This window comes from Homo sapiens, chromosome 12 (genome assembly GCF_000001405.40).
Source record: "Homo sapiens chromosome 12, GRCh38.p14 Primary Assembly".
NCBI lineage: Eukaryota > Metazoa > Chordata > Mammalia > Primates > Hominidae > Homo > Homo sapiens.
In genome coordinates this window covers 92,698,212-92,722,860 of record NC_000012.12, presented here as the reverse complement: position 1 = coordinate 92,722,860, position 24,649 = coordinate 92,698,212, and the positions used below count along the sequence as shown (strand labels likewise).

At 42.6% G+C, this 24,649-nt stretch overlaps 1 protein-coding gene across 5 annotated transcripts in view, besides 1 other annotated feature; it reads right to left on the bottom strand.

Annotated features, from left to right (window-relative positions):
• PLEKHG7 (pleckstrin homology and RhoGEF domain containing G7) overlaps positions 1-19,872 on the bottom strand; it is a 69,467-nt gene extending 49,595 nt beyond the window's left edge. The window contains exons 1-3 of one of the 5 annotated variants that reach the window (NM_001377329.1): positions 19,729-19,872; positions 15,723-16,390; positions 15,189-15,211 (exon numbers count right to left, since the gene is read on the bottom strand). In NM_001377329.1, coding sequence (NP_001364258.1) covers positions 15,189-15,211; positions 15,723-16,229 — 530 coding nt within the window. In that variant the 5' untranslated portion in view covers positions 16,230-16,390; positions 19,729-19,872. Of the gene's footprint in view, positions 1-14,311; positions 16,391-19,511; positions 19,578-19,728 lie in introns of those variants that run through there. The other 4 variants (XM_047428867.1, NM_001037671.4, NM_001178097.3 and 1 more) reach the window with 4 other exon arrangements.
• Positions 19,672-19,731: an enhancer, noted in NCBI's record as "active region_6753". NCBI's record gives its function as "activates an Ori minimal core promoter by ATAC-STARR-seq in GM12878 lymphoblastoid cells {active_cell/tissue: GM12878}" and the evidence as "EXISTENCE:reporter gene assay evidence [ECO:0000049][PMID:35858748]".
• Positions 19,873-24,649: the final 4,777 nt, after the last annotated feature.

Genomic DNA, 24,649 nt, shown 5'->3' with positions numbered 1-24,649 from the left:
GACATAGAACAAGTATTCAGATAAGCTTGTTGAATAAATAGACATGTTGACCTATAGATCGAAATACTGACAGTCCTCAATTGCATTTGTTTTTCCGTTCTGGAACATAAATGAATAATTGTATGTATATACAAAAGCAGAATACAGTTTGAGTGCTCACCCTCCCCCAGTTAAAAGTGGTTGGTTACGTTACCCACATCCATTTTGCTCATCTGGGATACCTTCTGACATCATGCATCCATTTGGGAGCACAAAGGTCAAATTTGGAGTTGAATTTGCACATAGGGAGCAGGGAGAAGATAACCGGCTTGTGAACGGCTTGATCCATGACCTTGACTTTTTGCCTTGGTGTTCAAAACCCACTAATGCTAATTCTGGAAAGGTGAATATGCCTCTGGAAGGGCATAACAAAATTTCTGTGGCATGAAATATATTTTGTTCATCAAAAGACAGCATGAGTTAATAAAAATATCAAGAACCACCATTGTAGCCATGCAGAGACCTAGGAAAGCAATCAGAACATCTGCACCAGTAACATGAAGAGACATGGATTGGTGCGGAAAATGTGCCTCTATGTCAATTCCATGCCTGGCAGTGGACTGGATTTCTGGGCACTCTAGAAAAGACCCGGGTCTGTGTCAGCTGGGGTTGCTCGGATCGTTGGATGAATGAAATTAACTCAAATAGCTGTAATGAGTTCAGCATGACTGAATTTAGGTCTCACGGTGGGTGCAGTGTGTATCCGAACTGGTATCTTCTTTTGGCTGTTCTAAATATTAGGGTTTTTTTTTTTTTAATAAATGTGGCATTCATGCAGGATTGTCTCCAATTCTGGATTGACCATCCACTGGAAGCAATCACTGTAGTGAATTCAGAATTCTTATCTCCCTCCCCTAAGCAAAGTGGTGTCTGTGTGGGGTAGGGGTGCCCAGTGTGAAGAGGACAGGGAAGAATATTTTTAGAGATTGGATTTCCTCACAGGAGGACTAAGCTGGTGAATAAACTAATAATAAATGCAAACTATTTGGGGTGTGGCTGGCAACCCATTGTCACCGTGTAAGTACAGTATAACTCCATGCCACCCTTTATTTGTTTAGAAAAATACAACTAAACAAATATCCTTGATAAATGCTTTTTTTTTTTTTTTTTTTTTTTTTTGGTTTTATGCTTGGCTATTCTGGTTCTTTGCTTCAGGACAAGCTTTGGAACCCAGAAGGTTGTATAACTGGGTGTCTGACCCAGACTTTGCAGCTCTCTAGAGCAGGACACCCTTCCACTGGCTTTCCCCACCCCCACCCACCATGTAGAAACCCCAATATAGCCACTCTTTCACTAACCCTGAGTTGCGTTGCCCCAAGCTGGTCAGATCCGAAGGGACTAGTCCCATGGCTGCTGGAATAGTCTCGTCTCCCTTCTGGTACCAGAACGTCTCCTTATTCTATGCTCTGCTGAAGATCTGAAGGTCCATGGTGTGGGCTGAGAAAGCAACAATTCAGAGCATCCCGGGAATTCCCCCCCAACCCCACTGCTGAGCAGGCCGTGCACCCATGTGTCAGCACTCAACAATGAGGCAGCTGTCACGTGCTGGTGCCAGAAATGTCTCTGGCTGCTGGAAATGGGTCCCCCAGTAGACCTCAAATGTCTACATTTTGTAAGCAATAGACTGATCTTGGTGAATATTATTCTAATTTAAAATCAGCTGGCGTTTACTGAGAACTGATTCTTCTTAGACACTTTGTTACGTGCTTTACATGCATTATCATATTGATTTTCACAAGCACCCTATGTAGTGGATATTACTGTTCTTATTTTAGACCAGAGGAAACTGAGGCTTAGAGGGATGCATAAGGAACTTACCTAAGGTCGCAATGTTGTAGTGAATGACAGAGCTAGAATTAGAAATTCAAATATGCAGGTCTGACTCCAAGAAGACTTGTGAATGGGAAGAAGAGAAAAAGAGACTACCAACTATTTTAATGCACTACAAAACTTTTAAAATGATGTGATGATGGCTACTACTTTAGGAAAAAGAATGGGGTATAATGGTTTGAATGGTGGCCCCCCCAAAAGTGATATGTCCACATCCTAACCCCTGGAACATGTGCATATGGCCTTATTTGTAAAAAGGGTCTTAGTAGATATGATTAAATTAATGATCTAGAGATGAGATTATTCGGGATTGTCTGAGTGGGCCCTAAATCCAACGACAAATGTCCTTATAAAAGACACTTAAGAGTCCAGGCTCAGTAGCTCACGCCTGTAATCCCAGTACTTCGGGAGACCAAGGTGGGCGGATCACCTGAAGTCAGAAGTTCGAGACCAGCTGGCCAAGATGGTGGGACCCTGTCTCTACTAAAAATACAAAAAATTAGCCCGATGTGGTGGCGCACGCCTGTAGTCCCAGCTACTCAGGAGACTGGGGCATGAGAATAGCTTGAATCTGAGAGGCAGAGGTTGCAGTGAGCTGAGATTACGCCACTACACTCCAGCCTGGGTGACAGGGTGAGACTCCATCTCAAAAAAAAGAAAAAAAAAAAGACACTAAGAGAAGAGACACAGCGAAGAGAGAAGGGTATGTGAAGACGAACAGAGGCAGAGATTAAAGGGAGGCAGCCACAAGCCAATGAACGCCTGGATGAAAAAGCAAGCGAAAGTCCTCCCCTAGAGCCTTCAGGGGAAGTGTGGCTCTGCCCAAACTGTGATTTCAGACTTCTGATTTCCAGAATGGAAAGAGGATAAATTTCTGTTTTTTAAAGTCACCTGATTTATGGTAATTTATCATAGCAGCCACAGGAAACGAATATGGGGCAGTCCTATTGAGTGGCAAGGGCACCCAACTTAGGACCCAGATTCCCAACTGTGACCTTGGCCTGTCGCTTCCCCGGGCCACCGTTTCCTTATGTGGAAAGCAAGTGTGCCACGTGAGGCTGCCTGCATCCTGCATGCTCTAGTGTGAGATCCAGGAGCATCATTCTCCTTCTCTCCTTCTGTGGCCAGTGGGTGAGGACAGTAATTGTGTGGTGACCTTTATCTTGGCAGAAACGTTTGAAGATGATTAATTCAAAGCTCCCCTTTTAGAAATATGACTAATAGATCACTTACATTTTTAAAAGATTCCTTCTGTGCAGCAGACTTAAGCCAAGGACTCCTAGCCTTTAATTCCCAGGTGCAAATTTTAAGAAAAAATAATAACAAAGGCTAGAGAATATGGGAAGTACAACTGCCCTTTAGTGATATGTGTGTCTAAAAGGAATAAAAATCTTATTGAAGGCACTGCAACTTGGATAAAGCATAGTCTTATCTTTTCCTTTGCTACGAATGTTGCCCAGTGATTTTTGTTTTTTAATCAGGCAGCCTTATCAGGCCCTATTCATCAGAAACTATAGTCCTTGTCTGGTAGTAAGAGTTCATGGTAAATGTAGTCTTTTTCAGCAGGCAGCTTTTCAGCAATTGTGTGACTAGAAAAAGTTGGCATTCCATTTTAAGAATCATAATGTTTTACCCTATGCAAGAAATATAGTGCAATTTGGAATGCTTGCTTATAACTATGGGTTGATTACACAGGAAGAACAAATTAAGCATCAGTAACAAACTTTTTCTAAAAATCTCTTTTTAAAATAATCAAAAGAGAAATGACAACTGTACTGCCAATTATTGAACTACAGTTCTCTTGGTTAAATCTGGGATATATTTTTCCATTATGAGTTTCAAAAAATTGTTGGGAATGCGCTTTTGTATGTTCGACTATGGTTTCCAATTCAACTTTCTATCAAAGTATTCCATTTGTTGGAAACGCAAATGAGAAGCAGATAGGATGATGAGCTTCTAGTTTACCGCCTGGAATCCGGTACTATGATGGCGATTTCTCATAAATGCAGAGTGAACAAATGGAAGACTTGTACCCTATACATCAGTTTGAACACAGAACAGAGATGCCTCTTAAGAGTCTCATCATGTGTGAGAAATGCCATGTACTGTGGCTGTGGGGTCAAATCAGTAATATTTTTTGAGGACATGTGTTCAGAGCACCATGGTAACTGCTGGCAACTGCCCAGAAATCTCACCTTCTTTCTAGGTTACTGTTTTTTATGGAAAACACTCAACATACTCCCTTGTGGGATTAAGCAATATTTGTACAAATCCCCACAAACCCAAAGTACACTCAGAGACAAGCACAAAACTATAAGGAAGATCGAGGAGGTCAAGAGGAGCTGGAGGGAGTCAGATAAATAGTTGGAGGAGAAAATACACGAAACAAAAGGGGACCATACAATTTTTCCCTAAAAGGCATGTCCAAACCCAACTACCAATCAATTTCCTTTTTCTTTTCTTTTTCTTTCCTTAAACATTTATTGGACACCTACTAAGTGCCAGGCAGTGTTCTAGGTACCGGGGATAAGGCAATAAACAAAACAGATGAAAATCCCACTTTCCTGGAACTTACATTCTATTAGGTTGGTGCAAATGTAATTGCAGTTTTTGACGCAATTAAAAGTAATGGCAAAACCCGTAATTACTTTTGCACCAGCCTAACAGATGAGCTGATGCTGCTGGAAGAGTGGCACGTGGTTCCCCTTGCACCATGCCCATATCAGGAAGGCTCCCCAAGGCTGCAGTCTTCTCTTTTGAGTAATGAGCAGTACACTGCCTAGTAGTCTCTGAATCCTGTCCAACAAGCCTTAAAGCCCCGAAGAAGCTGACAGAGTCTTCTCCTCTAGTATGTTCTACAGTTAACAGACAGTGCTAGGGACATAAGGGGTTTTAAATAAAAGCCTGTGGGGTATAATATTGTATTGAACCTAAAGGTCAGATACATTACATTTGATGTGCCTGATGTTAGAATATTTAGCTCTGGGGTTAGAAAATTTTAGAAAGGATAAGTCAATGACTTACATGTGGGAGGTGCTGAATGAATGGTTTCTCTAAGAATAACCATAGCTACTATTTGAGTTATATTATTAACCAGTTCAAAAGAAAGACCTGTGAGAGGAACACTACAGGTGTGCATTGCTTAATGATGGGGATACGTTCTGAGAAATGCATCCTCAGGCAATTTTGTCATTGTGTGAACATCACAGAGTGAACTTACACAAACCTCAATGGTGTGTAGCCTACTACACACCTAGGCTGTAAGGTGTCACTGGGGGTTCCCAGGCTACAAACCTGTACACCGTGTTATGGTACTGAATAATGTAGGCAGCAGTAACACAATGGGAAGTATTTGTGTATCTAAACATAAACTAGGTAGAGCAAAACTACGTTATGATAATCTTACGGGACCACTATTGTATATGAGGCCCATTGTTGACAAAAGCATCATTAATACAGTGCCTGACTGTATTTGTGTCTCCACTTTGTGGATTAAAAACATCGAAGTTTCAAGTGGTTAAGGAAATTGTGCAAGATCTTGTTGCCACAGAGAAGTGGAGCTAGGATTTAAATTCAGGGAGTTTGACTCCAGTAGATTTTAACTCCAGGTCCTGCTGCCCCCTATTGGTAACCCCAGATGACTCTGACTTTGGGGGAAGTTTTACTGGCATTTAATACTTTCTTTGTTTGTTTTTTCCTCAAGACAAACTTTCAAATATCTCATCAGTTGGCTTTCATGTTAGTGTTGCCCCAGTGGCTAATATGGATGTATTTAATTTTTCTCCTACTTTCTATTTGAGCATTGGAAGGTTAGTCTATAGTCTTATAGAAATGTAGCATGTACGTTTCTCTTCTCTCTTTCAGGGCTGACCTGAAAATTAGGTAAGATGGATGCTTCCTATGAATATAAAATTGAAGGGATGCTAGGAATGTTTCCCTATCCACAAAAGCATCTCCCTCACTTGCTTCTGATGTTTAAAATTTCCACCAACACAGTTTCACTGCTTGGCTTCAAGCTGTCTTTTGTTAAAATGCAAATGCATTGGGGATAGATAAGTGGAACGGTAATCCAAGAAGCCTGCCAACCTGCCTGTCTTCCTTCTTCCATTCATCTTTTTGGAAGTAGACTCTTTCTGGGTACTGGATGCTAGAGGTTCAAAGATAAATAAGAAGCAGTCTCTGCTCTCAGGAAGGTTTTGATTCTTGGGGGCAGATGAATTTAAAAGAAACACAATATAGTGTTTTAGAAATTATGATGGAGACATTTATAAGATGCGGGGAAACCCAAAAGGGAGAAATGTACTGGCTGTACTTGGAAAGATGAGAGTGTATATCCCTTAAGCCTAAATTCCCTCACACTTGTGTAAGAATGAATTGTGAAGATTTTTTTTCCAGAGGCCATATTCTAGTGATAACAGAGGAAGGTTTGAAGTGAGTATGAGTTCACTTAAATATTACAGAATGAGAGAGGGAATGGCAGGAAGAACGAGTTCACAAAGAAAAACGTGAGAGCAAGGGTTTTCCAGTTAGCCAATTTCAGAACTAAGAGTATATTGGGCACTTCTCACTTACACATTGTCAGGTTACATATATTACAGGTTAAAACACTGTAATACCTGTAATCCCAGCACTTTGGGAGGCCAAGGAGGGTGGACGACTTGAGGTCAGGAGTTTGAGGCCAGCCTGGCCAACAATGACGAAATCCTGTCTCTACTAAAAACACAAAAATTAGCCGGGTGTGGTGGTGCACACCTGTAATCCCACCTACTCGGGAGGCTGAGACAAGAGAATCACTTGAACCCAGGAGGCAGAGATTTCAGTGAGCTGAGATTGTACCAATGCACTCCAGCCTGAGTGACAGAGCAAGACTCTGTCTCAAAAAAAACAAAACAAAACAAAACAAAACAAAAAAACCCCAAAACCACTGTAATAGAAGAATCAGTATTTTTGAAAAAGGTTTCATATCTATTCTGCAAGACAAAAAATTTTGCTGTGATTGGAAGCCACAGAGGCAAGCATTTCTTAATTGTATAGGCCAGGGGTCAGCACACCTTTTCTGTAAAGAGACAGATAGTAAACATTTTAGGCTTTGTGGGCCATGCAGTCTCTTGCAATTCTGCCATTACAATGTTGAAACAGCCACAGGCAATGCACAAATGAGTGGGCGTTGGTGTGTTCCAATAAAGCTTTATTAACAGAAACAGGTTATGGGCCATAGTTTGCTAAATCCTAGTTTATACCATTTGATAGGCCTTTTTTTTTTTTTTTTTTTTTTGAGGCAAGAACCCTTGCTCTTAGATAGACAGTGGGGCCTCATGCAGAGCTCTTCACTCTTCACCTAACATTATATGACCATGCAGCCTGGCAAGCAGCTGTTCAAGGAAGTGGGCTCTTTGAACAAATGGCTGCTGCAGAAAAGACTGCAGAGACATGTGGAAGAAGAGAAGAGGGAGTGAAGAGAGACAAATGGGGGATCTGTCTCGGTTTGTTTTTGTTTTTGTTTTTGTTTTCAGTTCTTGTTTATTAGTAGTAATGTAAGAATCTTGTGATGGTTAATACTGAGTATCAACTTGATTGGATTGAAGGATGCAAAGTATTGATCCTGGGTGTATCTGTGAAGGTGTTGCCAAAAGAGATTAACATATCAGTCAGTGGGCGGGGGAAGGCAGACCCACCCTTAATCTGGGTGGGCACCATCTAATCAGCTGCCAGCAAATCTAAAGCAGGCAGAAAAACGTGAAGATCTGAGATTGGCTTAGCCTCCCAGCCTACGTCTTTCTCCCATGCTGGATGCTTCCTGCCCTCGAACATTGGACTCCAAGTTCTTCAGCTTTGGAACTCTGACTGGCTCTCCTTGCTCCGCAGCTGGCAGACAGCCTATTGTGGGACCTCGTGATCATGTGAGTTAATACTTAATAAACTCTTTATCTATCTATCTATCTATCTATCTATCTATCTATCTATCTATCTATCCCATTAGTTCTGTTCCTCTAGAGAACTCTGACTAATACAGATTTTGGTACAAGGAGTGGTTCTAGAGGAACAGAGTATTAAGGATGGAGTTCTTTCATTGGTTTTGGGGCTTCTGGAGTTGGCTGCTTCATATGATTAGACCGAAAAATGCTAAGGACTCTACTTCTAATAGTATGGAGAACACTGATAGTCCTTGGTGTGAACCGTTTGGAGAGTTATGCAACATAAATGCATTTGACACTCCTGATTCACTGCTTGTGACAGGCAAGTTTAGTGACTCTATACATAATACCTTTGACATATGTGGAGAACCAAGGAACATAACAAAGCTGGTTGGGTGCTCCTAAGTTCAGTAGACAAAGTGTTGAGAGAAAATGATGAACTCAGGGATTCTAACTCCTGGCTTCAGAAGCAGACACTGAGCCTCAAAATTTGCTAAGATTGCCCTGAGTGACAGTCTTATCTCTTGTAGAGAAAGAGCTGAAATTGTTGAAAAATAGACACAAGCTCTTATTATGTGAGTAGCTGACCTGCAATGAAAGGTGCATGCACAGCCCCACCAGGTGCCTACTGTTAAAGTGAGGGCATTGATTGGAAAAGAATGAGACCCTGCAACTTGGAATAGGATGCCCGGGAGGACGCTGATGAAGCTGGGGACACTGAGTTTGTAAATTCTGACAATGCTTTTTGCTAGAAAAAAACAGCTTCCCCATCCCCAGTAGTGGCAACATCCCCACCCTGACCCATGCTGCCATCAGCCTTTCCACCTTTGTCTGGGGAGATAAACCCTGCACTGCCTGAGGCAATAGTGATGGCCTCCCTTGAGGCAGTTGGCAGGCAAGATAATGTTGATTCTTCTCAGGAGCCACCCCCAACAACCTTGTTTGCCTCTAGACCTGTAACTGGACTAAAGTCCCGGCAGGCACCTAGAGGTAAGGTTGAGAGTGTGACCCATGAGGAGGGGTCCTACACTTGAAAATAACTGCTTGAGTTTTCTAATTTATATAAACAGAAATCTGGAGAACAGGCATGGGAATTGATATTAAGGGTGTGGGATAATGGTGGAAGGAACATAGAGTTGGATCAGGCTGAATTTATTGATTTGGGCCCACTAAATAGGGACTCTGCATTTAATGTCTCAGCTTGGGGAGTTAAAAAAGGGTCCAAGAGTTTATTTCTTGGTTAGCTAAAATATGGATTAAAAGATAGCCCACTGTGAGTGAGCTGGAAATGCCTCATCTCCCTCAGTTTAATGTAGAGGAAGGGATCCAAAGGCTTAGGGAGATTGGGATGGTGGAGTGGATTAGTCACTTTAGACCTACTCATCCCAGTAGAGAGGGTCAGAAGATACACCCTTGACCAATGCCTTGTGAAATAGATTTGTGAGGGCAGGACCTGCATTTTTGAAGAGCCCTGTAATTGCTCTTCTCTGTATGTCAGATCTAACAGTGGGAACTGCAGTCACTCAACTACAAAATTTAAATACAATGGGAATAATTGGATCCCAAGGTGGCAGAGGCCAGGTGGCAGCACTCAACCATCAAAGGCAAGGTGGGTGTAGCTACCATAATGGACGGAAGAGGCAAAGCGGCAATCAGAATAGACTGACTCCTGTAGAGTGCTGGCACTGGCTAATTAATTACAGTGTTCCTAGAATTAAAATTGATAGGAAGCCTACTACATTCCTACCTAATTTTCATAAGCAGAAAACTTCTAGGTTGAATGGACAAGACTAATTTGAATTGTAAAAACAGAATCACGGCCCCTCAATCAATTTCCAGACTTGAGCCAGTTTACAAACCCAGAACCCCTTGAATAAAGGGAAGGCCAGGTCCCCTTGAGGAAGGACCCCACTACATTACTGACAATTTATGTAGTGAATCTTTTTTTGATATGCAGCCTTGCTCTGCCGTCCAGGCTGGAGTGCAGTGGTGCGATCTCAATTCACTATGCCGTGAATCTTTTTCCCATCCTTCCCTATGGAGACCTCTGGCCTTTTACCAAGGTAACTGTGTACTGGGGAAAGGGAAATGATCAGACATTTTGGGGACTACTGGACACTGGCTTTGAGCTGAGGTTGATTCCAGGGAACCCAAAACATCATTGTGGTCCTCCAGTTAAAGTAGGGGCTTATGGAGGTCAGGTAATTAATGGAGTTTTAGCTCAGGTCTGACTTACAGTGAGTCCAGTGGGTCCCCAGACTCATCTTGTGGTCATTTTTCCAGGACCAGAGTATATAATTGGCATAGACATACTTAGCAGCTGGCAGAACCCCCACATTGGCTTCCTGACTGGTAGGGTGAGGGCTATTACGGAGGGAAAGGCAAAATGGAAGCCATTTAGAGCTACCTCTAGCTAGAAAAATAGTAAATAAAAAAAAATCGCATCCCTGGAGGGATTGTGGAAATTAATGCTACCATCAAGGACTCGAAAGACGCAGGGGTGGTGATTCCCACCACATCCCTGTTCAACTCTCCCATTTGGCCTGTGCAGAAGACAAATGGATCTTGGAGAATGACAGTGAATTATTGTAAGCTTAACCAAGTGGTGACTCCAATTGCAGCTGCTGTACCAGATGTGGTTTCATTGCTTGAGCCAATGAACACATCTCCTGGTACCGGTATGCAGCCAGTGACTTGGCGAATGCCTTTTTCTCCATTCTTGTCCATAAGGCCCACCAGAAGCAATTTGCCTTCAGCTAGCAAGGCCAGCAATATACCATTACTGTCCTGCCTCAGGGGTATATCAACTCTCTAGCTTTGTGTCATAATCTTATTCGGAGAGACCTTGATCGCTTTTCGCCTCCGCAAGATATCACACTGGTCCATTACACTGATGACATTATGCTGATTGGATCCAGTGAGCAAGAAGTAGCAAATACATTGGACTTATTGGTGACACATTTGCATGCCAGAGGATGGGACATAAATTTGATTAAAATTCAGAAAACTTCCACCTCAGTAAAATTTCTAGGGGTCCAGTGGTGTGGGACCTTTCAAGATATTCCTTCTAAAGTGAAAGATAAGTTGCTACATTTGGCCCCTCCTCAAACCAAGAAAGAGGTACAATGCCTAGTAGGCCTATTTGGATTTTGGAGGCAACACATTCCTCATTTGGGTGTGTTACTCTGGCCCATTTATCGAGTGACCTGAAAGGTGGCCAGTTTTGAGTGGGGTCCAGAACAGAAGGCTCTGCAACAGGTCCAGGCTGCTGTGCAAGCTGCTCTGCCACTTGGGCCATATGACCCAGCAGATCCAATGGTGCTTAAGGTGTCAGTGGCAGACAGAGATGCTGTTTGGAGCCTTTGGCAGTCCCCTATAGGTGAATCACAGCAGAGACCTCTAGGATTTTGGAGCAAGACCCTGCCATCTTCTGCAGATAACTACTCTCCTTTTGAGAGACAGCTCTTGGCCTGTTACTGGGCTTTGGTGGAAACTGAACATTTGACTATGGGTCATCAAGTCACCATGCGACCTGAACTGCCTATCATGAACTGGGTGCTTTCTGACCCATCTAGCCATAAAGTGGGTCATGCATAGCAGCATTTCATCATCAAATGGAAGTGGTATATATGTGATTGGGCTCAAGCGGGTCCTGAAGGCACAAGTAGGTTATATGAGGAAGTGGCTCAAATGCTCATGGTCTCCACTCCTGCCACCCTGCCTTCTCTCCCCCAGTCTGCACCAATGGCCTCATGGGGAGTTCCCTATGACCAACTGACAGAGGAAGAGAAGACTAGGGTCTGATTCACAGATTATTCTGCACAATATGCAGGCACCACCCAAAAGTGGACAGCTGTAGCACTACAAGCCTTTTCTGGGACATCCCTGAAGGATAACGGTGAAAGGAAATCTTCCCAGTGGGCAGAACTTCGAGGAGTACACCTGGTTGTGTACTTTGCATGGAGGGAGAAATGGCCAGATGTGCGATTATATACTGATTTATGGGCTGCAGCCAATGGATTGGCTGGATGGTCAGGGGCTTGGAAGAAGTATGATTGGAAAATTGGTGACAAAGAAATTTGGGGAAGGGGTATGTGGATAGACCTCTCTGAGTGGTCAAAAACTGTGAAGATATTTGTACCCCACGTAGGTGCTCATGAATGGGTGACCTCAGCAGAGGAGGATTTTAATAATCAAGTGGATAGGATGACCCGTTCTGTGGACACCACTCAGCCTCTTTCCCCAGCTGCCCCTGTCATTGCCCGATGGGCCCATGAACAAAGTAGCCATGGTGGTAGGGATGGAGGTTACTCATAAGCTCAGTAAAGTGGACTTCCACTCACCAAGGCTGACCTGGCTACAGCCACTTCTGAGTGCCCAGTTTGCCAGCAGCATAGATCAACACTGAGCCCTCGATATGGCACCATTCCTTGGGGTGATCAGACAGCTACCTGGTGGCAGGTTGATTATACTGAACTTCTTCCATCATGAAAAGGGCAGAGGTTTGTCCTCACTGGGATAGATACTTACTCCGAATATGGGTTTGCCTATCCTGTATGCAGTGCTTCTGGCAAAACTACCATCTGTGGGCTCATGGAATGCCTTATCCACCATCATGGTATTCCACACAGCATTGCCTCTGACCAAGGCACTCACTTTATGGACAAAGCAGTGCGACAGTGGGTTCATGCTCATGGAATTCACTGGTCTTACCATGTTCCCCATTATCCTGAAGCAGCTAGATTGACAGAATGGTGGAATGGCCTTTTGAAGTCACAATCGTAGTGCCAACTAGGTGACAATACTTTGCAGGGCTGGGACAAAGTTTTCTGGATGGCCATGTAATGCTCTGAATCAGCATCCAATATATGGTACTGTTTCTCCCATAGCCAGGATTCACAGGTTCAGGAATCAAGGGGTGGAAGTCAAAGTGGCACTACTCATCATCACCCCTAGTGATCCACTAGCCAAATTTTTGCCTCCTGTTCCTGTGACATTACGTTCTGCTGGCCTAGAGGTCTTAGTTCCAGAGGGAGGAACACTGCCACCAGGAGACGCAAGAAAGTTTCCATTAAACTGAAGTTAAAATTGCCACCTGGACACTTTGGGCTCCTCCTACCTTTAAGTCAACAGGCTAAGAAGGGAGTTATAGGTGCCCACCACCACACCCAGCTTATTTAAAGAAAAAATATTTTTAGTAGAGATGAGGTTTCACTATGTTGGCCAGGCTGATCTCAAACTCCTGACCTCAAGTGATCCGCCTGCCTGGCCCTTCCACAGTGCTGGGATTATAGGCATGAGCCATTGTGCCCAGCCTGACCTAGCTGTTCTTTTAAAATTTACCAAGACTATTTTTGTTATTTCCTCACAGATTTCATATGGCAATGGAAATTACCTTCACATCATTTTTTTGCAAATGGCTTCATGCATCCCATTGATCTGCCTTTATGTCTGCCGGCTCCATCTAATAATCAGAGCTGGACCCAGACTTTACCTGCTCTAGGAAACATTCCTTGATTTAAGACTCACAAATATACATATAGTACATCCACCCCTGGTGCCTTCTCTAACCAATTATTTACTCAAAATCTCCACTTAGATGTTTCATAGTTCCTCAAACTCAACATGTCCAAACCTGAACACAAGACCTACACTCTAACCACTCATATTTAATTTCTTTACCCAAGTTTATCTAGGTCAGTGAATGGACACCTTGGTTACCCAGTTGAACAAGCCAGAAGCTTGGAGGTCATTCTTGAAGATTCCTTTCCCTCACCCTGATAGGCTACCATTCACAAAGTCTGGGGGATTGTATCTCCTAAATATCTCTTGCATTGAGATACTTCTTTTTAACCCCACTGCCTTCATCATAATCTAACTTAACAACTTCTCATACCTGAACATTCGAATTATTTGACTCAAGTCTACTTGCATCTAAATCCCAGGTATATCTGACATCCATCTGATCATATCAATTCATCAAATGGTTTCACACTGCTCTTAGGGTAAGGAATAAAATTTCTCAAAATCTTATTAAAATAATTCGACTCTAAACATAATTTTTTTTTCTAAGACTACCCTTTTCCACTTTCTTTGACACAACTGAACTAGATCTCATCTGAGAGCTTTATTCTGTTTCACATGTATGGAAGATTTACATTAACAGCCCCACTCTTCCCCATTCCTTACATCCATACACTTTGCCATGTAACATTTCAATGCTCTCCCACTGTTGGTAACATGTAATTCCCTGACGCTGAGTTCAACTGAGTGACTTGCTTTGGTCAATAAAATTAGACCAGATTCAGAGCCCAGGCTCCAAGAGGCCTTGCATGTTTCTACTTGTCCTCTTGAACCTCTCCCTTCACTGTATAAAGAATCTGCTTAATTGATCCCATGGACCCATGGGAGCCCTTTGATCCCATGAGCAGGATAAGGAACATTTGGAGTGGAACTGCTCAGCTAAACCCAGCCTAGACCAAGTCACCCCCAGGGAACACAGAGATTTATAAGAAACAATAACTGTCTGTTACTTTAAGTGGTTTTTTATCTAGCAACAGCTAGCTGATACACAGACATAACAATTTGCATTTCCCTATGGCTTGGTAAGTATCTTCTACCTTTGTTGGTACAATTAGGCCAACAAGGATTAAAATCAACAAAGAATGTGTACATGGATGTTATCCTTACTGCTATGAATATCAAACTATTGCTTGAGGATTGAGGTCCAGTAATAAAACAGCAGCTATTTCTCCAAAAAAATCCTCTGTGACTTTTCAAATGAAATGAGGGCTTTCCTGCCAATCCCACAAGTCAGGAAGATAAAATTGGGCATGGATCTTTCCCTTGCTGCTGCAGAAACTCTTCATCCCTGTCAGAGATGGCAGATCCATTGCTACAACCAGGGGGCCGTGCTGAAAGTTCAGAGCTGGTTTTGGAAATGACACAGTCTACTTCATTCTGGATAAGGGCACAGTCTGTCATAACAGGTTATTTTAAAGGTCACCCTAGATTTAACCAGGACATCTTGTTCCTTTCTTTTATCCTCCAAATTTTTCTTTGAAAAGCTGTTGCATATCTCTGGCCTTTCTATTTTCTCTACCAGACAAAACCTATTACTAAGTGGATGTTAATTAAGCCACAGGGCCAAGACATTGACAATTCAAAATGAAAACTATGACTGCATATGGCATTGTATCCTGCCCCCAAATGCTGTGCTCTTAAAGGGAGACTCTTGAAATGAAAACTCGTGCACCTATAAATGCGAAGAGTGACTTGAGTGCTATAAAACAAAGTGCACTGGTTAACACACCGTCAGCTTTGTTATGTCAGGACAGAAATAAAAATCTAATAGTAAATAGTCAACAGATGTCATAGCACCGGAGAAAATAAATGCATACACACCTGGATGGGTGCAATTCTTCTCCCTGAAATAAATTTTAAGAACATATGTTTTAGTCTTGCTCAAACCCATCCCAAACTCCAAAGCAAACATGTTGAAAGGAGAAACAATGAGCCCTCCTAGTTAAAACATGTTTTACATTTTGGTGGGATTGGAAATTTGAATAACTGGCTCTTTCTCCCCTTTTAAATCAGTGACACGACGTTGTCTTTAAATAGTGTGCATTTGCAAGAGGGCCCCCATTGCTCTCGGGTACCTGACAGACCATCGGTAAGCCTGGCCTTGGTGCATCCTTTCTCAAAGTGCCTCTAAGGACAGAAGAAAGTGAGCGAGATCATTTTCTTTCCTCCCCAGATTGCTGCCCTCCTTTCACTTAAGAGCCAATGCTTCCTAAAGAGAATGTGTCCCCTCAGTGTGACTTCCTGTGCTGTCTCCTTTTTAGGATCTACTGGCCCTTGGGGGAACTAAGCAACTCTGAGATCTATTTTGCTTTGTGGTTCAGCAACTGAGAGGCCGGAGGCTTAGAGCTGTGTTACCTGAGGACTAGGGTGTCGTAGGGTGGGGCTGGGCAGGAAGTGGCCTTCTTGCTGCCGAAGAGAGGCCTGGTGAAGGGACCCTTCATTGACAGGCTGAAGCTCAGGAGGGAGATACTTGTCAGTGGGCCGGGTTTGGGGCTCCAGTGAGTCAGCTGCATTCAGGGCCCTTTCAGGTTCAGAGGTCAATCTTGAGTGGAGTCTCAAGGGTGACAGCAAGTGTGAAGAATCCTTTGGGCTTCCTGGCAGGCTCTTCGAAAGGTAACATGGGAAGCCCACAGGAGCTCCCCAGCTTCCCCAGGTGGTCACCTGCCAGGCATCCTGCCTTGTCCCACAGCCACGGGTCCTTAATCTCCTCAAAGTGGGCGAGGTGGAGATGCGGCCTGGGGCTTGCCGGTCAAACTGGAGGAGACTCCCCTGGTTCTTTGGCAGGCTCCTCAGCGAGGGCCGAGGAGAGGCTCCACAGTCTTGGGGTGGCACCTCTGGACAGAATGACTCTGTTTTCTCCATAAAGCTAAGAGGTTCTACTGTTGGTAGAAGGTTCCAGAAGACGTATGAGTTGCTGTTCTCTGGATCACATGGAGGGTGCTCAATTTCTGCATCCAAGTGCCATGCTTCCTCTCGTAGTTCTTTTCCTTTTCCAGAGGAGAATGTCAAGCAGGTTATTGCATCTGTAGTGAGGAAGAGCAGACTGTGAAATATGTAGCAAATGAGGGAGACTGCAGTGAGAAAAAAGGTCTAAAATTTCAAAGGAAAACTTCTAATTCTTCATAGGCAATAGAGCTCAGTTCACATCAGCATCCTTTACGTTCAGAAGATAATTAATATACGTGACTCCAGCCTTCTCATCTAAATAGCGTATTGAAGTCTGTTTACTGTCTACTTAATATTCCTTCTAGGTTCAAACAAAAAAGCCTTTAAAAACTTTGGTAACTTAAGGTACTTCCTGGAAACCACATAGCTCCTCCCCTTGTGATTATTCCATTTTAAGAGAATCAAATATACATTAAATCCTCCTTATCATCTACATTTATGTATGTATGTACATATTGTGGTGCATTCTGGGGATGCAAGAACAAGGAAAACAAGCCTCCTTCCCTCAAGGTTTAAATTACAGAATGAGACAGGCTTTGAAGGTAACTGATGTAAAGTATCTGACAACGTCTTTTATCTTAGATTCTATCAATCTTTACATTTTGGAAAAAGGACTTGCAGGTTTGAAAAGAAAAACCCAGACATCACCAGGTACCCTACTGTTCATGATTGGAGGTGTTTTTTGCAATCTATGCATGCAGAATTATCTCTTCTCATGCTCAAGAAAAGCTGACCCTTCCATTTCACAGCTTGATTCATGGGAGTGGCTTATTGCAGTTTCGTTATTCTGTACTTTCCCACATGAAGAAGGTATGTGTGGGAAAACATCAATCCTTACACATCCCTTATGGCATGAGAGTTGATGCTTGATGATTTGCAGACCAGGTGTGGGACTGTGGGACAGGCGAGAGACCCATCTTCCCTGGCCGCAGATGGCATGGGAGGTGGCTTCAGACTGTGCGTGGATTGTTTGTGGATGGAACATTAGTAGTTGACCGTATATTCCAAGATCATCAATAATAGTTTTAGTAAGTTTATCATTCTAAAGCAGAACTCAGCAATCTGAAACCCTTTGCCCACATTTGGATAGCCAAAATTTAAGAATGGCTAATAATTTACTTCTTATAATTTTAATTGCATGGGCAATACTTTTTAGTAGAACTTTTCTAGGGTGTATTATTTGCTTCTTTAACTTGATATAGAGAAGGCTGAAAACCAATAAACCTTTTCCTTATAACCTGACCTCATTCTGTTGACTATCATTCTAGTACTTTGCCAAAATACAGTGATTACTACTATGTTTACTATAGTTCTGTGGAGAATACAATAATTGTTACAGGCTTCTATAGCATCTGAATATTCACTCCCACACCAAATGGCCCCACACCAATGTACTCCCTAATTTTTATTCCTTACTTCTCACTATGCTTTTTGTACTTGCCTATGGCAACCACTCTCTCCTCTTTGTTTCTTTTAATCTGTGTCAGTCATAGAAGTCCAACAACCTTGTGAATAGATAATTAATAGGTTGTTAGATCTATTCCTATCAGTAGAGGAGGAGCTCAATGTTATGACATTGTCATGACAATGTTGTGACTTGACATTGATTTTGGGGACTTTGTGGTCTCTTATTTTACTCCCTGACTCTTACCTTGTTTAAGGTCAAGTAAGTCCAGGCACAGAGGCTCATGCCTGTAATCCGAGCACTTTGGGAGGCAAAGGCGGGAGGATCCCTTGAGCCTAGAAGTTCAAGACCAGCCTGGGCAACATAGTGAGACCCCATCTCTATAAAAACCTTTTTAAAATGCCAAATGAAACTAACAGGTACTGGATTTCAGACTGGTGAGTTGTTTGAGGAACAACTTAGATGCAAACTAACGTCAATTCAACTCTTATTCACAAAAGAAATCTAAAATTCTTAATGTTGTGTTTGCTTTATTTTGAGCTGAGGACTCAATTGTTATAGAACTTCACATGTAGAACTAAAACCCATGAGGTACCCTTTTTTGCAGAGTGGAGGAAAGAGGGCAATGCCAGTTTAGGAAACTTATGTTCAGTTAAGGTGAGATTGTACTAGTTTTGGTTTTAGATTGGTAATTCCTGGAGGCTGCTCTGAAGGTTGATACCAACATTGCTGGAGAGGTATGAAATGGTCCCTCCCTACCATTGATAAAATAAGGTACATTGTTGCTACATGGAGAGGCCAGTTCCTCATTCTCCCAACAAACAAATGCTGAGCTGAGCATCAAATCTATAGGTACTTTCTTTCTTTTTTTTTTTCTTTTTAGAGATGGAGTCTGGCTCTGTCGCCCAGGCTGAGTGCAGAGGTGTGATCATATCGCACTGTAACCTCAAACTCCTAGCCTCACAGAATCCTCATGCTGCAGTGCTCCTGAGTAGTTGGGGCTATGGATGCTTACCACCCCACCCAGCTAATTTTGAATCAATAGGTACTTTCACACATACATACAATCAGGGCCGTTCTATTATTTTTCTCCTTTAGAAGACTGTCCAAGTTCTAGGCAGCAACAATGTTAAAGGAATTCAGTATATTTGCATAGGCACTTGCATAATAGTTAGATCAGATTTCTTAGTCTTTGGGTTTCCCCTCTGTCCTTCTGGCCTTTTCCTCTCCTCTTTTGAGGGGTTAGGATACGGCTTTGGGTTTCCTTTGTAGTCGTTCAGACACAGGGGTGTAGCTGCTGGTAGGAAGTTATTTATGGCCAATAGGATTCACATCGGTAAGAATTATTTATTAGCCACTGTCTTAAATATTGGAACCAAGGCAATAGTAACTGCCGACATGATGCACTGCGGAAATGGAGAAACTTTAAAAACAGCAGGGCTTAGGGAGGTGGTTTGCAGAAAGGCAGGAAGAGCTCAAGCACCAGAAGAAATGGGTCTGGTTTCTCTTCCAGTATCACCGCCAATTGGCTGTGTGACCTAGGACAAGCCACTTCTCCTCTGCCAACTGCCATGCAGCATTTACCAAGAGGACATCAAAGAACCTCCCTCACAGGCCTGTTGCAGAAATTAAATGAGATAATGGCTAAGGCTCCTGGGAAGCTTTCCCTAAATGACTACACCCAGTGGATCTGGTAGAATCAAAAGTTAACAAGTCAATCCATTCATGCTAACTCTTCTTTATGTTTAAAAGAGGAAATTAATACATGGTCACCATAAAGAAAATTCACCAACCTTTGACCTTCCAAGCTTTGAGAATCCAGCAAACACCCACCCACACTGTTGGGGAAGCCATCTCACTGTACTAGAAATGAAACCATTGCAGGTTAATGATTCACTAATTCTAATGAGACCTGGAGAGATCAGCAAAACAAGCGAAACTGATAGCAATAGGACAAAAGGAAAGTGCAAGAGAGAAACCCAGAAAGCAGCTGAATGTTGCCTTTAATACCTGTAAGATGGTCTGTCCCTGAAGGCAACTGCACCCAGGTGGGTCCCGAGGCTCCTCAGAACCCGCAGATCCAGAGTGAGCTGCCAGGCGAGGGCTCGGAGCAACAAGTTCCACACCTGTAACAATGCGTCCTCCTGGCTGAGTGAAAGCAACCTTGCTACCAGCTGCAATGAGGAACTGGTCTCTCCCCTCCTTAGAGACATTTCCAGTTATTTGTTTATGAAAAAGCCTAAAGGGAAGCCAGCTCAGAATCTAAGGCAGCCTAAGAACAAGTCAGGTAAACAACGGCTGATCAAATACAGAAATGATGCAAATGTAACTTTTTACTTCCTCTTGAGGCATTCAACAAATCATCACTCATAGTTCAGTGAAGCAGTTCTAGGTTTCTATTTCATTTATTTTCTCTAAGGTTGTGAGATGCATTCTTTGGGACTCTACTTTCTTCACATCATAAAACATTTTGTGTTGATCTATTTTATTAATGACTTGCTTTGATAAGCATTGAATAGTAGAGGAAATGATTAGAGCACCAGGGAGTGAATTTGTGAACATTAGTTTTCAAATAATTAAAATGCAAATGGAAGAGCATTTATATCTACCAGTATTCTCATTAGATCAGTACCCCAAAGAATATTTATTTGATGCCTAGGTGGAGATAATGCATATGTATGCAGCATTAAACAAAAATGTCTATAGACTTTCCCAAAACAAAGTTGAAGTAATTCTAATGAAGTCTAATTCACTGAAGTTTTCATTGATTGGACTCATTACAGATACTTACTGTGAAGGTTCCCTGAGGTCGGTAGTTCTTAAAGTAGGGTCCCTGGACCAGCAGTATCACTATGACTTGAGAACTTGTTAGAAAGGAAAAATCTTCCCCCTCCATGCTCTCCAACCCCTGGAACTCTGGGATGGGGTCAGAAGTCCGTGGTTTTTTTTTGAGACAGGGTCTCACTCTGTCACTCAGGCTGGAGTGCAGTGGCACGATCTCAGCTCACTGCAACCTCCACCTCCTGGGTTCAAGCGATTCTCCTACCTCAGCTTCCTGTGTAGCTGAGATTACAGGTGCACACCACCAGGGCCCGGCTAACTTTTGTATTTTTAGTACAGACGGGGTTTCACCATATTGGCCAGGCTGTCCGAACTCCTGACCTCAGGTGGTCCACCCACTTCGGCCTCCCAAAGTGCTGGGATTACAGGTGTGAGCCACTGTGCCCAGCCAGAAGTCTGTGTTTAACAAGACTTCCAGGTGATTCTTACATGGGTTAAAATTTGAGAACCACTGCCCTTAGAGGAAAAGAAAAAAAGGTCTAACTTATAGATGTTGGCCTTGTGATAAACTTTATATTAGTCTTTAATTCTCTCATATTGATCTTACTAGAACATCATTTACTTAGAACTTTGAAAAATGACTTGATCTCCTGCCCTCACCACCATTGCCAACATTACCATGACTCAACCAAAAGCAGGATATCAAAAAATATTTTGCCTGCATGGAGCCTGCATAAACAGTTCTGAGCTCCTGCCAAGGATGTCTAGAAGTGAATTGCTTCAATTTGGGAAGGAAAAAAATGAATAAAGTCTTTTAGCTTTTAGTTTGTGGAAGGAAGGTCATACTCTTTTCTACCAATCCCCTCACGCACATGGGATTGTAAAGCTGTCTCTCCTAGGGGATAATGATAATGGAATACTTGATCCCAATGCAAAAACTTCCAACCTCTGGTTGTAACTTCAAGAAGGAAATTAAGAGTCTTATAGAAAGGTCACAAAAGATTATCACGGAAAAAAATGTGCCACCTCCATCTGATTTGTCAAGGAGATGGCAACAGGGAGGCATTTTGGGTGGGGAAGGGACACCCCAGAGTCAGCTTTTCCTTTAAGAACCTGGGGCAACCTCACTGTGGCCCTTTCTCAGATGACACATGGAGGTGCTCTCCAATATCGCAGAGGGAGCAGCTCGCCTCAGCATTTTTTGCCTGTGTGTAGTTTTACGTTTATGTATGCTTTGCTTCAATAAAAAGTATACCTTAAAAAGTATGTCTATGCTAAAAGATGACATCCTGGTTTGCTTACTTTATGGCTTTGAATTGGCAAATTCCTAAAAGATATTTTCTTTCTAGTTGTTGAAAAGAGGTATGAGATTTATTTGAGCTTCCTTTTAGGTTTTAGGGCTACAAAAATTCAGTTGTACCATATTTACAATGATTAATATAGCTGGGCACAGTGGCTGATGCCTGTAATCCCAGCACTTTGGAAGGCCAAGGTGGGCAGACTGATTGAGCCCAGGAGTTTGGGACCAGCCTGGGCAACATGCTGAAACCCCGTCTCCACAAAAAATACAAAAATTAGTTGGGTGTGGTGTTGGGCACCTGTAGTCCCAGCTACTTGGGAGGCTGAAGTGGGAGGAATGCTTGGGCTGAGGTTGCAGTGAGCCGTGATCATGCCACTGTACTGCAGTCTGGGTGACAGAGAAAGATCCTGTCTCTCAAAAACAAACCAAAACAAAAAAAGGTGACTATCAGATTAATATCAATGCATCTTGATATCTTTCAATATTTCTGAGGTATTTATTTAGGAAAAGTTTCTAGGTAGTACATATTCTGAGCTGTTTCATACCCCAAAATGACTTTATTTTGCTATCACATGTGCAGGGCATGGAATTCTTGCAACATGGTATTTTCCTTTAAAGGTCTGTAGACATTTTTGCATGATTTCAGTCATTAATAGTTGAAATAGGAGGTCAATAGAATATTTACTCTTTGCTGGGTACCATACTCTTAAATTTTTTTTTACTTCTTTGTGAGATTGTGTATGTTCTATTGAAGTGTGAAATATATATATACACACACAATACAATAGAACATTATATATATATAATTTTATTGGGATTAGGTCTTGCTATATCAAGCTGATCTCAAACTCCTGGGCTCAAGTGGTCCTCTTGCCTTAGCCTCCCCAGTAGCTGGGACTACAGGGAATGCTGCTAATTTTTTATTTTGAATTTTTTTAAAAGATAGGGTTGGCCGGGCATGGTGGCTCACGCCTGTAATCCCAGCACTTTGGGAGGCAGAGGCGGGCAGATCACGAGGTCAGGAGATCGAGACCATCCTGGCTAACACGGTGAAACCCCGTCTCTACTAAAAATACAAAAAATTAGCCGGGCGAGGTGGCGGGTGCCTGTAGTCCTGGCTACTCGGGAGGCTGAGGCAGGAGAATGGCCTGAACCCCAGGGGATGGAGCCTGCAGTGAGCTGAGATCACGCCACTGCACTCCAGCCTGGGCGACCGAGTGAGACTCTATCTCAAAAAAAAAAAAAAAAAAAGAGATACGTTCTTGGTATGTTGTCCAGGCTTAAGTTTTTTCTTTTATATTTGAAGGTAGAGAGGTTTACCTAGCATATGTCATGGTGGGTTCTGTTTACCAAATATCTGGTGTGTACTCTCTGTTATTTAAAATATTTTTTCTAAATAAGAAATATTTTCTGTGCTATTTGACATTTATCTCTCTTCCACTGATTCTTTTCCTTCAGTCCCCATTCTTCTTTGTCTTCACTTCACTCTTCACTTTCCTCATTCTCTTTCTTCACTCTTCAGAGTGAAGTTATCGCTTCACTCTGATATTTTATCTTTTCTCTACATTATTGCTATTGCTTTTACCTTAGGGATAATTTCTTGATACTGTTTTCTATTTGGCTATTTTGCTTGTTCCATTTTCTGCATAGTCCAAATTGCCTTTAACTGTTTCCATAATGACTTTAACATCAATTTTCCTTTCAAGATAAATAGGAGTATTTCAGCTCAATTCTTTTTTAGATGGACTTTTGCTCTTGTTGCCCAGGCTGGAGTGCAGTGGTGCCATCTTGGCTCACTGCAACCTCCACCTCCTGGGTTCAAGTGATTCTCCTGCCTCGGCCTCCCAAATAGCTGGGATTACAGGCATGTGCCACCATACCCGGCTGATTTTGTATTTTTAGTAGAGACGGGATTTCACCATGTTGGTCAGGCTGGTCTTGAATTCCTGACCTCAGGTAATCCATCCATCTCAGCCTCCCAAAGTGCTGGGATTACAGGTGTGAGCCACCGCTCCTGGCTTTGCAATTCTTTTTTATTACAAAATGTTTTCATGGTGGCAGACTGTAGGTTCTTGATTCATGTCAAAAATATGGATTATTTAGTGTGTCATGAACTGAGGGTTATGATTAACTCAACTATATGTGGTCTAAAAATTAAAGTCAAAGAATCATGAATTATAATTTCTAATTTTTTCTGTTTTTTGAAATAACTCTGTTTCAAAAAAAGTAGTTCTACTGAGCCATCCTAGAATTTTTTTGCTTTATTCTTATGACCTGTAAGCTCTTTTACTATGCTCAGTAGTTATTCCATTTGCCATTCCTTAGAGAAGGGTATCTTTGCTTGGCCAGTGTTGATTTGGGGTTGACAAAGGATTTCACTAGGTTCTGATTGCTTGCTCAGCAATTTTGCAGTTTAAGGGGCAGGGACCTAGAGTGACAGCTGCAGCCACAATCAGAGCATAAGCTGGGTGCCATCACACTCATTCAGGAATGAAGGGCTCCCCAGCATGGCCAGTCCTCTGCTTGCTTTCAGACTTATGACCAGGAGCCACATCTGAGGCCTTCCCTCAGATGTGCATTCCTAGAGCTCAAGTGAAAGGACCCAATGGGCCGGGCTTCCCATGAGTTCCCTATGCTTTCCTGCCTTTTGAGTCTTGGAACAGTGCCAACTCACCTCTTGGAATTGGAGTTTTAGTAGACATTTGTTAGCAGCCTCCCTGCACCCGTGATCCACTCTCCTTTCCAGAGTCGTGATTTCCATTTAGGTTCCATGTGTTTCTCCATGCTTATTTCATTCCCAGCTTGAGGGGTGGAACACTGGACCTTGGCTCAGTCAAATTTGCATTTCAA